The sequence below is a fragment of the Homo sapiens genome, chromosome 8 (assembly GCF_000001405.40).
Source record: "Homo sapiens chromosome 8, GRCh38.p14 Primary Assembly".
Taxonomy (NCBI): Eukaryota; Metazoa; Chordata; class Mammalia; order Primates; family Hominidae; genus Homo; species Homo sapiens.
In genome coordinates, this window is record NC_000008.11 from 38,644,238 (window position 1) to 38,660,424 (window position 16,187).

General features: G+C 43.3%; 3 annotated features.

Annotated features, from left to right (window-relative positions):
* Positions 940 to 1,009: a silencer, noted in NCBI's record as "silent region_19131". NCBI's record gives its function as "represses an Ori minimal core promoter by ATAC-STARR-seq in GM12878 lymphoblastoid cells {active_cell/tissue: GM12878}" and the evidence as "EXISTENCE:reporter gene assay evidence [ECO:0000049][PMID:35858748]".
* Positions 6,271 to 6,873: an enhancer, noted in NCBI's record as "H3K27ac-H3K4me1 hESC enhancer chr8:38508026-38508628 (GRCh37/hg19 assembly coordinates)". NCBI's record gives its function as "activates a minimal SCP1, AML or CMV promoter by ChIP-STARR-seq in naive and primed H9 embryonic stem cells {active_cell/tissue: H9 hESC(naive and primed)}" and the evidence as "EXISTENCE:reporter gene assay evidence [ECO:0000049][PMID:30033119]".
* Positions 6,874 to 7,475: an enhancer, noted in NCBI's record as "H3K27ac-H3K4me1 hESC enhancer chr8:38508629-38509230 (GRCh37/hg19 assembly coordinates)". NCBI's record gives its function as "activates a minimal SCP1, AML or CMV promoter by ChIP-STARR-seq in primed H9 embryonic stem cells {active_cell/tissue: H9 hESC(primed)}" and the evidence as "EXISTENCE:reporter gene assay evidence [ECO:0000049][PMID:30033119]".

Consider the following 16,187-nt stretch of genomic DNA (forward strand, 5'->3'; position numbering starts at 1 on the left):
TCCGTCTCTGCAGCCCTCTCACTATCCCAGGGCATTCTGAGAGCCTTGCTGACTAAGACATTTTGATATTGAAGTGATCTCTAAATACCAGCCTCCTCTTTCCTTCACCATCGTAGCAAAAGCTCCTGCCCATTGAAGAGAGAAAGGGAAGGAGTGAGGCAGGGGAAGATGTGAGAAGCTATTTTTCGGCTTCAAAATCACAAGATCTTTAGGTAGACATCATCCTGGGTCATAGGAAAATGATTGCACTCATTTCTGAAGTTTGAAACACCCTCAGTTGACAATCAGCCAGGACATAAAGTATCTAACTTTGTACGTGGCACATAAAGAACACTCCATAAATATCAAATTTCCTTTTCTCACTAGGGTGTGGCATGATCTGAGGATCCTAGAGGGGATACAAAGATAAGGCACCATCCTAGCCTTTAAAGAGCTTAGTGACTTAACAATATTCGGCTGTGAATCCAACCCACCGGAACGAAGAAAAAAGCACAAAAATCCCTCCCCACTGAGCCCCAGCCCCTTTGGAAGTGAAAATCAGAGGCATCAGTCTCTGCCTGCTAAGCCTCCTGCCCTTCTCTTTCCATCCCCCAAGTTTAATCTGTTTAATTATTTCTTCATGTGTGCTCTAGAGAGCCTGTTATTTTTATGGGTCTGTGTCTATTAATTTTTCTTCCCTAACCTTCCCTCTTTCAGCGCAACCAGAGCGGTGCAGACAGAGGGCTGGAGTCAGGCTCCAGTGAACAGAGATTACACAGATATATATAGAGATGAGAGGAAGAAGGCAAGAAAATGTGGTTACCTCTGAGGCTGCAGAGAAGCTGTTAAGTGCTGGAGATTTAAAGCTTCGTTCGCCTCTGTACTAACTTCAAGCTGTTCTAAGCCCAGTCTCCCAGATGACAAAACTCAGACCAGCTGCGAGAGAGAGGATATGACTCTCTTGGGAGCCTCAGGTCTGATTTAGAGGGTGCTTAAAGGGACAAGTGGGAAGGAAGGAGTTGAACAATCAGAGTTTTATTTCTGGGGAGACTTTCTGTGCTGAAGAGAAGGCTAAGGACAGAGAGAAAACACTCGGTTATTTGTCACAGTTACAAAGAATAGGCTGAGAATTGGGCCTAAATTAGGGCAGGAAAAAAATCAGGTTTAATCTAAGGAAGAACTCATCTAAAAGAGTGATTAAATAGTAGCAGAACTATCAGAAGATAGAGTGGAATAATTATCTCAGTAAGATTTGGGCCGGGTAGGGTGGCTCACACCTGTAATCCCAGCATTTTGGGAGGCCGAGGTGCGCGGATCACCTGAGATCAGGAGTTTGAGACCAGCCTGGCCAGCATGGTGAAACCCCTTCTCTACTAAACCCCTTCTCTACTAAAAATACAAAAAATTAGCTGGGCATGGTGGTGGGCGCCTGTAATCCCAGCTACCTGGGAGGCTGAGGCAGGAGAATCGCTTGCCTCCTGGAGGCAGAGGTTGCAGTGAGCCAAGATCGCACCATTGCACTCCAGCCTAGGCAACAAGAGTGAAACTCCATCTCAAAAAAAATAAAAATAAAAAATATTTGGATAGTCACCTGTCTAGAAGCAGGAGGCTGGACAAGATGACCTCAGAAAGTCATTTCCCACTGTTTTGTTGGTTTTAAGAGCCGGTAGCCCGGGCACCCTGAAGCATGGCAAATCAGGTTTCCAAATGCAACTGAATTTGGTGAAGGTGGCAGTACCTTTGTAAGATTTTACCTAGCTGGCTCCCCGACTGGAGCAGAAATAACCTTGCGGACCCTGTAGTAGAAAAAGCCTGGATCTGGAAAAGGAGCCACAGAACAAATGCTTTTTTGAGTGGCAGCTGGGAGGGAAGGTGGAAGTTGAGGAGGAGCAAAGAGAAAGAGAATTTCATCTGTGGAGAAACTGGGAGAATTTCAGAGCTTAAACTGAGTATTCATTCTTGCAAGGGTGGTTGGGGTTGATCCTGGGTCTGACTGAATGAACCCCAGCGGCAGGGTTCGGGAATATGAGGGGGAGTTTGAGCTGACTGCTGCTGAGGAGGTGTTGTGTTCATCCTCAAGTCAGTGGCAAAAGCTTTCTGTAATGAGGGGTTCTCTGGGACAGCTTTGGAGCTGGTTAGCACTCAGGCTTAAGGACCTACGGATAGAAGATGACTTTGTTTCTCTTCCAAAGGTGTGTGATTGGGCAAAACAGAGAAATACTACATTTTCCTGTAAAAAGCGTCTGGGATGGAACTGCTACAGGGAGCAACTGGGCATGTGCCCAGCAGCCTGTGCAGTCTTGGGCCTGCTTCCTAGGCTGGAGCTGTGCTAGTGGCCTGCATGCATCGTGGGACTTTCTTAGACGGGCTTTGCCTTAGCAACAGGAAAGTTTGAATCTTGTTCTAGGGTTTTATCATCTCCAAAAGCCGTCCTCAAAATCTACCCTGTTCCCCTTTCATCTGGGACTTTCCCCCTTCAGTGTTTTGCCTTCCCAACCAAGGGGTGGCTGAGAGTCAATGAAAAAAAATTATTATGGCTGAGTGCAGTGCTGCACACCTATAATCCCAGCACTTTGGGAGGCCAAGGCAGGGAGATCGCTTGAGCGCAGGAGTTTGAGACCAGCTTGGGCAACATGGTGAAACTCCGTTTCCACAAAAACCACAAAAAAATTAGCCAGGTGTGGTGGCACTTGCTTGTAGTCCTAGCTACTCGGGAGGCTGAAGTGGGAGGATCATTTGAGCCCAGGAGGTGGAGGCTGCATTGAGCCAAGACTGCACCACTGCACTCCAGCCTGGGCAGCCAAGTGAGACCCTGTTCCCCCTGCCACCACCCCCACTCCAAAAAAAGAAAAAAATATTTATTGAACCCACTATTCACTAGGAAGCACAGAGTCCTTCATGTCACCCCCTTATGCCTCAGCTGCCAGAAAAACAAAGGCCAAATTTGTTGCTAAAATATCAGAAGCAGAACATCCTCAGTGCCTGAAACCATCAATTTCTTCTGATTCCTTCAGATGGATTCCATTTAAACTGCTCCTGAACTGTATCCTTCTTTGGTGGCACCTTGAGTCATCTTGAAAATAAATTGAGCATAAGAGTAAATCAATTACGCATTAACTTTCATGCTCTGGACAATGCTAGGCAAGTAGATGGGGTCCGAAGAGCATTGTCTCTGCATCATCCTTTCAATAAACACAAGACGGAAGACCAGATGCACACAAAGGTGAGAGCTGCATCTCAAAGTGGTTCAGCCCTACGTGGTAAGAGCTAGAATTGAATGTAAAGATAACTCACTCTTTACCCTTCTACCGTCCTTTCAATCAGAGCTTGTCCTTGGGCTTAACTAGAATTTCCTGCTGCAAGTTAGAATTTCTCTTCTCTTAGTCATTTTACAAAGGGGGATGTTGTAGTCCAGAGAGGAAAAGTGATTAGCCCAAAGTCACAGAGCAAATCCCTGGATGAAAAGTGCCAAAATCGTACAGAACACTAGCATTTCAGAGAAGGAAGAGAGCCCTTTTGCACAAGATAAGGGGATCTGGCACCCTCAGTTCCTCTCCAGGGTCTGTAACAGAGAACTATTGAATAATGGAAAGCTTCAAGGTTCCCAAGGAATCTAACAGTGGGGTTCAGAAGAGGGCAGATTTTTTATTTGAGAAAGGAAGGCATCCCTAGAACCCCTAAAATTGCCTGATTGTGTGTGAGGCTGGCCTGAGTCTAGTCTGTAGTTCTGAGCACTTTTCTCATAAGAATGGAAGCTTCTAGGGCTTCACCCTTAGAACACAGCAGAGAAATGTGGCAGAATGTGTCCATGGAGAGGGAGTGAGTTTGAAGAGAGAAAACAAGGGTATACTTGAAAGAGAAGAAGCATTCAGGGAAGGAAAGAGGGGGCAAGATGCTGAAATGCCCAAGCTCCATAAAGGACAGCAGAGAGGCATGAACTTCCCTCTTAAGGACTTTCTGGGTGCTGTGTGAACTCTTCCTGGAGAGCTTAGGTCTTCCCAGCTAAGACAATGATTGCATAACCTCTCATTTTCAGCAGACTAATGGGCTGCATTAACAGCCTTTTTTATTAGCTTTTTATGAGATGATGATCTAGTCCTGGCTCTTTGGTAGTTAGTCAAATTGTCAAGTTGCTCATAAACCAAGACAAATTAGAAATGACCATCCTCTCTTCTGAAGGAGTCTGGCTTGCCCACTGGCCATCTTTTGAGTGTTCAGACAGGAAGGCAGTGGTGGTGGATAGAGCGGAGGTGATCAGGTTGTTCCCTAGAGCTTTATGCTCTTTTAATTCAACAACCCCAGGGATAAAGGAAGAATGTGATTCTGGACTCAGGAGCAAGGGGCCAAAAACAGAAGCCAGGAGTTATGATTTAATGGAATTTAATTAAGTACTATTCTCGTTTGAGGAAGATTTTCTAAGTCATTAACCTGTAATCTTCCTATTACAACCAATTGCCCCCAGGGAGAAAGGGAGAAAGTTTCTTCTTCCATTAGAAGGAATGAAGCAAAAGGACTTCAGGAATTTAATACCCAAATTCCCCTTTGTGATGATGTCTCAGAACCCCACAAGTTTAGGAAACCCTAGGGCAGAGATTTGGAGTTTAGTCAGAAATGGTATGTTAAATTTGGGTTCAAAGATGGTTTCCAAATGAATTATGTGAGGTAAGAGCTAAAAGAGTTTGGAGATTATTTCTCTAAAAGTGCCTCATTTTTGTAGTCGAGGATTGGGAAGGAAAAGCCATCTGTCTTACCCACAGGGCAGAATGGCAGAGACCCACCTGGCTCTGTGACTCCTATTCCCTTCCTACCTTGTTACATGGCCTTTCTCCCATGGAAGCTAAACATCCTATTTGGCTGGGCAACCATATCAAGGAGGCACACTTTCTTTTTCCCTTGGTAGTCCCCTCCTTCCTTCTATTCCTCTCCTTGATCACTGCATCCTACTTATCCTGTTACATTCTTACCCATCCCATATAGCAAGGATAGAGCAGGGTGCTTTGCATTTGTATCAATGCATAAAAGAAGGACAAAACCCAAGAGATTCCATCTACGGCTTGAGATGCTCAGTCTTTCCCAATGCTTGCTGCAATGGCTTGTCTTAATTTTGAAAACACTAGACACTCACAACAGCTAAATCCTGCAGCTACTTATGCTTGTTCCTTCCTTATTCTGCCCTTTCTCCACGTTGTATATGTATCCATGTGGCTTTGGTGCTGGGCAGGTGAAACACTGATTGATGGAGACTGCCGCCCTCTAACTCCAGAACAGATCTAGAAATGGTGGGGAAAAGCTGCGCTGAAGGGTATCCCTACTCAGTAGAATGTCCCCAGCTCTGTCCGTTACCAGGAAGAGGCCACTGGACACAACTTTTTATCTTTTTACAGAGGGAGACTAGAGCCATACAGAAGGTGAATGATTGTCCAAGATCAAAGTTAGGGACACTCTTGGGAATAGGATTCAGATCCTCTGACTTTGTACCCTGGTTCTCTTTCCACTACACTTCACTTTTTAAAATCAATTATCAATGCACTATAGCTGGCAGAATTCCAAATTAATGGAATCTCAAATTAATAGAATTCTTCAGGTATTATTATTAATTTACTAGATTTTTAGAGCTATCTTTCCAAAAAGTTCAAGACATACTACACGTAGACATTGAGTCTTGTTATGAAAAATAAAGGAGATAACAAAATTACGTGGAAAGACCAGAAAGCGTTGATTCATTTTTTCTTAATTAAGAAAATATTAATTCATGCTTTTATCCAACTGGGTTTATGGAGGGCTTGCTATACTTCAGCACAGCATGTTTGCTGCTGAAGGAGATAGAAAAATGTAAAACGATATTTCCTCTTCATGGGCTTATACTTAATTAGGGAAACACACAGAAGGAAAGATCAGTGGAAGCTTGAGAGGTCAGGAAGGGCTTCATAGATGAAAATAAACTTGAGGTAGACCTCAGAACGGGGAACAGATTTGGATTGACCTGAAGAGAACAGGGGATTCCACGCAGGAGGAAAAGCTGGGGTCAGAATAAGCCTGACTTCTGTTAGTTAGCCTTGCTGAGCAGTCGTATTTGCTTTGGGAAAGGAACAGGAGATAAGTTGAGTAGGTAGGGTAGGGCTAGAGCATTGAATGCCAGGAGAAGGTAGAGGGTATGAATGGAAATGGGATGAGAGCCTAAGCAAGGTTTAATTTAAAACTTCCAGCAAACTGAGATCAAAAGAACGTGGCCTTCTAGCCAGTCTTTCCATGGAGACAACTGAGGAGCCTGGAGTGGGCAAAGGACCCTCGGGCTTGCGGTGGCCACGGGCACCCCAGAGGGACGGAGGGCGCCATACCGCGGTTGCCATGTTCCTGCATGTGTTTGAAATCTGGGCTGACAAGAAGAGCTGGACAATTTTGCTCCGTTACGTATTGAATTCTCTTCTCTGTGGTACAGGATCCCCTTGAAGCGTGACAGCTGCAATGACTTCCAGATGTCCGCCTCCTGTCTCCTAGCCGACTGGGGTGGATGTGGTAAACTCCGCGATGGAAACCAAAACCCCCACCAGATGTGCCATGTCAACGTCAGCCTCGCGCACATCTGGCTTCAATGCCGGCCGCCAGCCCCAGAACAAATGGCGGCTTTCCCGCTGTATTCAGCTAGTCAGCGTTCCCCGGTTAAAAGGCGCTGGGGCAGGAACGGCCGGGGCCTTCGGGGGCGCGACGCGGCGACGCCCAGCCTGGGAAGGGGCGCGGGGCCCGTGTTGGCCGCGGTGGGTCCCGGCTCCCTGGAGGCTGAGCCCCGGGCGCTCTTTCCTCGCGGCGCTGCCGTGGGGTGGCCGGGAGGGCAGAACGAGGGGCTGCGGGACGGTGTTCGGAAGAAAATCGTGCGAGTTTAAAAACATCCAAAGTGAGCCGAGCTGGGCCCCAAGCCTCGGCCTCGCGCACTCGCCAGGCCCAGGAGGCGGAGCAGGCGTCGGGACGGCGGCGACCAGAGCCTGCTGGACAAGCGGGGCCGGGTGCCTCAGCCCGGCCTCCTCCTGGCCTCCCTCTCCCCAACTCACGCATCCACCAGCAGGACCCCCTACAGGGCAGGCGCAGGAGTGAATCTTAGCTGTCATTACTACTGAGGTGGTATTTTTCTAAATAAAAAAATCAGACAAATGGATATCCTGAAAACAGGACAGAGCGTGTGAAACCTGGACTCAGGGAAGGATGGTGGCCACACCCAGGCCCGCTTGTCCACGGCAGCCGGCAGGAGCGGGCACTATCATGTTTACGAGCTGCCCTTCTACCTACCCACGAAGTCTCATTTAGTCACAACAGATGCTGTATATTGGAAAAGGCCCCCAACTGAGCACCAAAAGACTTAGGTGTGGGTCCTGGTTCCAAATGAGCCAGGAGATATGGGGTATATCTTGGTTCTTCCTTTATAAATTGGAATATATATCTATTTCTTTTTACTTCATAGAGTTCTCTGACTCTTAATTGAGCAAAGTTTACAAAGAGAAGTGAATTAGATCTAGAAATAGAATTCAGGTTCCACCGATAACTGGCTGTATAATTTTATGCTACCCACCTCGGGGAAAAGGAAAATGAAAAACGGCTCTGAAAAGTATGATGTGCTATACACATGCAGGCTTTATTACATTTATTGTTTGAAAAGAGAAAACTGAGGCTCAGGGAAATTAACCGACTTGCTCCAAAGCCACGTAGTAGACAGACATGTTTCATTATTTACTTTGGTTTGGCCTGGGTTGACACATAATTAGGGTTTTAATCAGTCACCTTATGGCTTTGCAGTTCATCCTTCCTTCTGTCTTCAGCTTTAAGGCCGGAGCCGTTTCTCTCAGCTGACTTGGTCACTGAGGAAGGAGGAATCTCATGTTAGAGGCCCAAATCAAAACCATTCTGCATAAAGCCACTGGAGTGCTAATTCAGTGGCTTCTCTGGATTCTGCCCACAGAATTTCCATGAAGTAGTTGCTCCCTTCTGGGTATATAGCCCATGACAAATGTTCAATGTGTCTCTGCCCTGGCTGTTCAATCTCATCCCTTCTCATTCTCTCTGGCTCCCTTAAATCTGCTTGTCATTCCTCCAAAAACATCATCCTTTTGTTTCCACTTCTCTGTGGAAATTTCTCTCTCTCAATCTCTCTCCCTCTCTCTGTAACTTTCCCTGTTGGTTACCTTGCATACTTGACCCATTCTCTAAGTTAACTTAGCCAGGTGCATTCTTTTTGCCATCTTGTATTAAAAGAAAAAATTTATTTATTTATTATTTATTTATTTTTACAAAGCACCAACCACTGAAGAATAAAAAATTAATTTTGACTGAAGTGATGTTTAAAAGCTTTTAAAATTCAAACATTACTACTAGACTGTAACAACAATAAGAAAAACAGCAATCCTTTGACCACTCCCAGTTACCCCCCAGCCAGAAACAATTACTTTCAACTCTTTTATCTGTTTCTTCTTGGTATTTCTGTCTTTATTTATAAATCACAGCTTATCCAGTTTTTCTTGGTTTACTGATTTTAGGAATTGTCTTTTGACTTCCTATCATGGAAAATGTGACCATATAGCATACTAGTGGAGAGTATGGACTCTGGAGAGAAATTACCTGGTTTAAATCCCAGGTCTAATACTTACTAATTGTGTGAGTTTGTACAAGTTGCTTGACTGCTGTGGGTCTCGATTTCCTCCTGTGTAAAATGGATGATAATGTCAGAGGTGTTTGAACCACAGCAACTCCATCTTGAATAGGAGCTGGGTAAAATGAGGCTGACACCTAATGTGCTGCGTTCCCAGACGGTTAAGGCATTCTAAGTCACAGGATGAGATAGGAGGTTGGCATAAGATACAGGTCATAAAGACCTTGCTGATAAAACAGGCTGCAATAAAGAAGGCAGCCAAAACCCACCAAAATCAAGATGGTGATGAGAGTGACCTCTAGCTGTCCTCACTGCTATACTCCCACCAGCTCCATGACAGTTTACAAATGCCAGGCAACATCAGGAAGTTGCCCTATATGGCCTAAAAAGGTGAGGCATGAATAATCCACCCCTTGTTTAGCATATCATCAAGAAATAACCATAAAAATGGGCAACCGACAGCCCTTGGGGCTGCTGTGTCTATGGAGTAGCCATTCTTTTATTCCTTTACTCTCTCAGTAAACTTGCTTTCACTTTATGGACTCATCCTGAATTCTTTCTTGCGCAAGACCCAAGAACCCTCTCTTGGGGTCTGGATCAGGACCGCTTTCTTGTAACAATAATATTATCTTCCTCATAGAGTGACTATGAAGATTAAATGTTGAATATATAATGGGCTTAGAATAATGTCTGGTGCACAGTAAGCGCTATATAAATATTACTTATTATCATCATTAAACTGGCCTGCACACACTTTCCCTCTGCTCAACCTCCCAACATAGTTATGCCACCATTTTGGGTAAAATCAACATTAAATATTTATTTTATGACTATGTAAATATTATTCCCAGGTAAGCCACATAGAATCCTATAATTATGTTTCCTTTTTCATTCAGCCTTTTGTTTTCCCTGGAATTAATAGTTTTCTGTTTTTGTATTTTGTTTAGTTTTCTATGTACCTATTATTAATTCATCCACAAAATCTCCTGAAAATACATTCAAATACAGGTATTCTCTTGGTTTCATTATTTTCATTGGCCGCCCTTCCTAGAGCTTTTTGGCTTTCCTGTTCCTGTCTGGACTCTTTGCTCTGTGGCCTGATTCACAGCTCTAGCCCTGTGAATAGGACATTCTACGGGTCCCTTCAACATCATCTGGGATTTATCTTTGTTGGAGTCCTGTTGCCTGGATTATACATATGGTGGAAACTGCTGCTTATCCTCCCAAATCCTTTCTTTCCTTCTTTCATTGTAATAGAAATGTAGCTATATGAGGTTGCCTAACTAAACGCTACACTTCCCAACTCACCCTTAAAGCTAGGGATTACCACATAACTAGATTTTGCCAAATAAATGCTAGTGGAAGCAACTGTATATTACTTCCTGGCCTGGTCCATAAAAACCTACACACTTTTCCTCTGGTGAACTGGAAAATGAAAGTGCTTGCAATCAAATTTTCATCATGCAGAAAAGGATAATGCCCTAGGATAGTCATCTTCAAACTTTAGCATGCATAAGAATCACGTGGAAGTCTTGTTAAAACACAGATTTCTGCCCTCTATGCCTAGAATTTCTGATTCATTAGGTCTGGTGTTGGGACCTGAGAATTTGCATTTCTCATACGTTCTCAAGTGATGCTGATGCTACTGGCCTGAGGATCTCATTTTTGAGAACCACTGCCCCTAAGACACAGCAGAAAAACAAGATATGCAGAAGGAACCACAATCCCTGAATGACCAAAGGAAGCAGTTGTCCACGACCTGAAATATTTATCTTGGGCTGTTATGTGAGAAAAAAGTAAGTTTGCATCTTCATTAGCTATTCAATTATGTTTGGTTTTCTAAATTGCAGCAGTCAGCTTTCCCATCACCATGTCTTTTTCTCCTTTTCTTACTCCGATATTTTAGGAAGCACACCCACCAATAGTTTCTTGAGAAAAGAAGATAAATTTTTTTGAGACTTTGAATGTCTGAAACTGTTTATTATATTGGTACACTTGACTGATAGTTTGGCTGGGTATAGAATTCTGGGTTAAAATCATTTCCCCCAGAATTTCTCTATTACCTTCAATTGCCATTCTGATTCTCAATCTTTTATAAGTGAGTTGTATTTTCATTTTAAAATTTCTTTTTAGAATCTTCTATGACCTTTTTACTCCTGGTGCTATGAAACTAGAGAATGAAGTGTCTTGGGTATGTTTTTTCTTATTCACTGTATCGTGCATCACTCTCCTTCAGTTCAGACCCAGTATTGATTCTTTAATGATTTCTTCCTGTTTTCTTGGTTCTGTCTTTCTGGAACATCTGTCTCAAGTTTTCTTATCCTTTACATCTAACTATATCCTTTATCTATATCTTTTATTCTATGAATTTAGCTTTTTCTTCTACTCTTCTGGGAGATTTCCTCGACTATCTTTCAAAAGAAAAGTTGATGTTTTCCCCCTCATATGTGTAACTACTCAGAGTATTGCCTTGTTTTCTAATTTTTTAATAGGCTCCTGTTATCATTTCATGGATGCAGTATTTTTTCTTCTGCTTCTTGCCCTGGTGTTTTTTGTTTGTTTGTTTTTTGTTTTGTTTTTTGTTTTCCCTGAGCTTCTCTTTTTGGTTAGTTTGGTTTCTTTTGGTGTATTTCATATTTGGAGCTTTCTCAAAAGTGATCCTCTTCCACGTGGAGTGGGGAGACTTGTCAGTTGTTGGACTTCACTATAGCTTATGTGGGGCCATTTCCTTAGGGGAAACTCCATAGTCTTTTCTCTTGGACCCATCAGTTGCTCTCAGAAGAATGCCCCAATTTCCCTCCAGGGAGCAGGGATGGGGAAAGGGAAAGGGTGTACGAACCTGGCTGCCAGCATGCTGGGACTTGAGTTAAGGAAGGGGCTAGGAGTCTTATTTTTCAGTGGGTATGTCAACTTTCACTTAAATACATGTCTTTCATGAAGATGCCTCATCCTACCCTCAGCAGTGCTTCCTATTTCTGATTCAGAATGGTCTGATTCGGCCTCTCCAGGAGGTAAATTGTCTGTCTTCTTTTAGGGCTACAGAGGGGATCAGAAGGATCTAGCTGCTCCATTTAAAGTCAGTGTGGAGTTTCAGTCATGGCATGAATTTTAGTTTCCTCTGATCCACGAAGTCAGTTATTGCTCATCTGATCTGCTTTTCAGCTCTCAAAATGTTGTTCACATCTTTTGGCTGTTGACATCTCCTATTCCATTCTTTTTAACATTGTGGGCTTATGAGTTTTTTATTTTGTTTGTTTGTTTCTGTGTTTGTTTTTAGTTCTTTCTTGTCATTTTAGTGAGTTTAAGAAGGGAGCAGAAATAATAAACATCTGCCCATCTTTTACTTGAAGCTTCTATCTCTTCTAAGGAAAAATAAAGCCATTGGAAATTCTAAATTGCCCAAATTATATTAGTGTGTATTAGTGCAGTGGAATTGTATTTTTCCTTTTCCTTATTTTCTGTAATGCACTTATTCTTTTTGGAATATTTTAATTGCATTTCTTTTGATTCAGTGCTTCTAGTTCTGGGAATTCATCCTAAGGCAGCAACTAATGATGTGTGCAAGAAACCTCTACAAAGCGGTTCCTCAGAGTGTATTTATACTATCAAGTATTGGAAACAACCTAATTGTCTAATAGGAGATTGGTTAAATAGCCAGGGTACATTCATGTAATGGCATACTCTGCAGCGTTAAAAATGTTGTTCTGGGAGATTAATGATGTATAAAATGTTCATAATACATTGTAAGTTTAAAAACAATTACAAAAACCATATGTAAAGTATGGTTTACTTTAAAAAAAGAGTCTATGTAAATGTATATATTCATAATTAAAATGGCAAGGATATATGTATTAATATATATTATAATGCTGATTGTTAACAGTGACATTATTGAGTACCTACTATTTGCCTGGTCATGTTCTGAGCCTCTTATGTGGATGACTTTAGTTCATTCTCATAAGAACGATGCGAGGTCAATGCTATTATTATTTCCATTTTACAGATGAAGAAACTAAAGCCTAGAGAATTAATGTAATTGCCCAAGGGCACATAGAGCCATGACTCACACTAAGGCCCACTGACCCCAGAGTCCATCCACTTAATCATAATCACTATACACCAAAATATTAAGGCTGGTGGTATTTCAAGTGACCTTTATTTTGTGTGTGTTTAGCTGGAGTGAAGAAGAGGGAGGGTGAAGAAATAGAAGGGATATGAAGAGGTTGACCTTTGTTGCATTGTTTTCTTTGCAATTAATTAGTGGAAAGACACCCCTCTCCCCACTTGCACAATTTTGTTTTGGAGGTCTGGGATCTAGACAATTTGTCTCTAATATATGTTTAAGGCCAGTACTTTTTTGGTGCTTGTCACATATCATTAGATGAAAAGTCATTGGAAGGCACAAGCTGTCCATGTTGAGCCAGATTTCATTAGAAACCAAACCCTGTGACAAGAAATCTGAGCAACAAAAAGAGACACAAGCCCAACTTTCCGACTTCTTTTGAGCCATATTCTATTGACTAAAGTTCCAGCATTTTTTCTTTCTTTTGCTTGTGTTTTTTCATCATACCTCGTGCAGAGTGGTTTATGGGCTCTCAGCAAAGGCTGTGGGCCTGCTGACGAGTTGTCCTGAGCAATAATTTGAGAAACCAGTGCTGTTGTTGCTGCTTCCCCTCCTCAATGTTGGTGCTTTGAGCCTATGACTCACAGAGCTAGGCTCAGGGCCTCTTGGGCTACAGTCAAGGACAGGTTCTCTCAGGAATATTTGTGGGATGCTTGTACCTGTCATCCTCCTAGCAGTCCCTGTGGGTCCCAGCTGAATCTGATTAAAGGTTCTTCCTGATTTATAGAGTCTACCTCCTCCCACCCCTTCCCCCATTCTCACTCTGCTTGAGCTGCTTGAGCTAGATCATTAAGATGCAGCAGGTGTACAATATTGTTTTGCTATAAAACTAAACGGGCTTAAAGTGTTCAGAGATAATGCATTCCTCTATCAGAGGATTTATGAAAGAGTAAAGATATTCTGGTTTGGCCCCTTTCCCAATGTATGCTCTTTTCCAAGCCCCACACATTAAAAACTGTGAGTATTTTTGTTACTTTCCTTTTTTTAAAAAAAATGTTTTTTTCTGCAATAGTTGCCTCTGATTAATATCCTTGTGCTCTCTGAGACCCAGAAAGTGGTTTAGTTTCCCTAGGACACTTTAACAATAGTGTGATTTACAGAGCAATTCACTGGAGCCAGGGGGCAATGTAATATAACAAAGCATTTTTCACAGCCTTTCTCCCCGGAGTTGCCACAAATGCAGAACCACTGTGCAGACAACACAGGAATGAAGGTAAATTCACTGAAAGAACAAAAGGCACAGGTTTCCCAAGGTCATTTTGGATAATCAAACATCCAGTGGGGACACATTAACCTTGGTAGACTCAAGCCGAGTGAAAAGCAGGCAGAGGTGGAGTGGGGCCAGGTTGCCCTCAGTGGGATTCTAATCTGAGAAATTGGTGTTGCCACTTAGCAACAGCAGAGTGCAGTTGATTGGCACCCCTGTCTATTATCACCAGCACTGGGCTGAATACAGCATCCCAAATCACTGAGGGTTGTATGATTTGGTGCTAAGGAGCAGACTAGAATCAGAACCCTATGACTTACTAGTGTGTATGGATGACATTGTGCAAGGCCAGTGGCCCTTCTGCTCTGTAAGCAGACTTGCTTCCCATGTCACAATGGTTTCACAAATGCTGGAGAGATTTAAAAGAAAGTTCTGCTTGTTAGGAACCATTTCCTCTTGAAGCATTAGTGTTCACTTGGCCAAATGCACACAACCAGCCCACAGTGTACAGGAACAAGGCTTCCAACAGCCTCATGAGTTAGTGGGCAGCTCAGTGCAAGAAAGGCTGCATCATTAGCCCGAGCTAAATGCAGCAGGCAGCCTCTGAGCCTCGGCCTAAGAGCCAGCCTTCTTCCCCCAGCTGGGATCAGCAGCTGCCTATGGAGTTTTGCTCTGGACTTGAGTGATGATTCATCTGACCAAGTTTTTTCCTTGCTGACTCCTCAAATTCCCAGACTATAAAAAGGAGGATTTAAGGAGGGTCTCGAAGTCAATCAGTCAGTGAATAACTCTTGATTAAACAACCACCTTGTGTCTAGCAGAAGGCTTGCCACTGTGGTCCCTTCCAAATAAAAAGAAGACATATGTTCCTTTCTCATAAGGAGCCTACAGTCTAGTTGGGGAAGCCATATAAGTATATGCAGAACAATAAAAAAGTGATAAAGTGCTGAACTATATATAGTGTTGGTTCTAGATGCAGGTGAAGTTGCATTTAGAGGCTGGCACTATGCATGGAAGGTTCATGAATGGAGTGGGCTGGAAATGCTGGGTCCACTGGAGATCAAAACGCAGGCAATATAAAGTGTGCAAAGTTTCCTATACTGTGATCAAGTTGGAAAAAAAAAAAGCTAAATGTAAGTCTCATAGGTTGAATTGTCTTTCCTTCTGGCTGTTTACCAGATTCTGTACAGGATTGAGGGCTCACCAAAACTTTCACAGCATGGTAGCCATCCTCCAAGATGGCTCTGGTGGGGACCTCTGCCTCCTGGCATTGACACGGTTGTGTTATTCTCTCTCACATTGTGCCAGGGATGGTCTATATGACCAATTAGAATACGGCAGAAATATTGGTATGCCAGTTCTGAGATTAGGTTATAAAAGATACTGTGGCTTCCACAGAGATCTGAGTCTCTCTTTGTCTCTGTGCCACTCTGTCTTTCTCTCTTACACTGGGCAAAGCCAGATGCTATATGCAGCCCAATGGAAAGAAACCATATGGAGAGGCCCACATGGCATGGAACTGAGACTTCTACCTACAACCATGTGAGTGAGCTTGGAATTGAATCCTCCAGCCCCAGTCAAGCCTTCAGATGACTGCAGTCCTGACCAATAGTTTGACTGCAACTTCATGAGAGACCTCAAATCAGAATCACCCAGATAAGCTGCTCCTGGGCTCCTGACCCACAGGAACAATGTAAAGGAATATACATTTGTTGTTTCAAGCTGCTATCACTGAGCACTCTTCTTTTCTGGGCCAGCCCCAACTCTGTAGTCCAGTCTACAGCTCAGGCTGTGCTCTGTCTTCTTCAGGTTCAGTAGAATGATGACATCTGATTGCAACACTCTTCAACCTGGGGTCAAATTCATAGCAGCTCTTTCAAATTCAGGACTGCCAAAACTTCTCTCAGTAATCAGATCAGACTCTGCTGCCACAGTGGGTTTTCAGGAGTAGTCAGAGACTTCCCTGGCTGTGGGTACATCGCACAGCACCAATGTGTACTGTACAAGCATGAGTCTTCAGCCTGCTGATTGGACAGGAATGTGTAGTCTTCTATGTGGTTTGTGAAAACCACAAGCTGGAAAAAAAATCTGCTAAGGAATGAATGGCATCTCCACCTTCCCTGCAGTAGTGGACATGAGAACATGAGATGTTCATTCAGAGACCTTTCAGCGGCTTTTGCAGTTGCAAGAATGGTCTGAATCAGAAATTGTGAAGCTGCCCACAGACATTATGGTGAAATCCT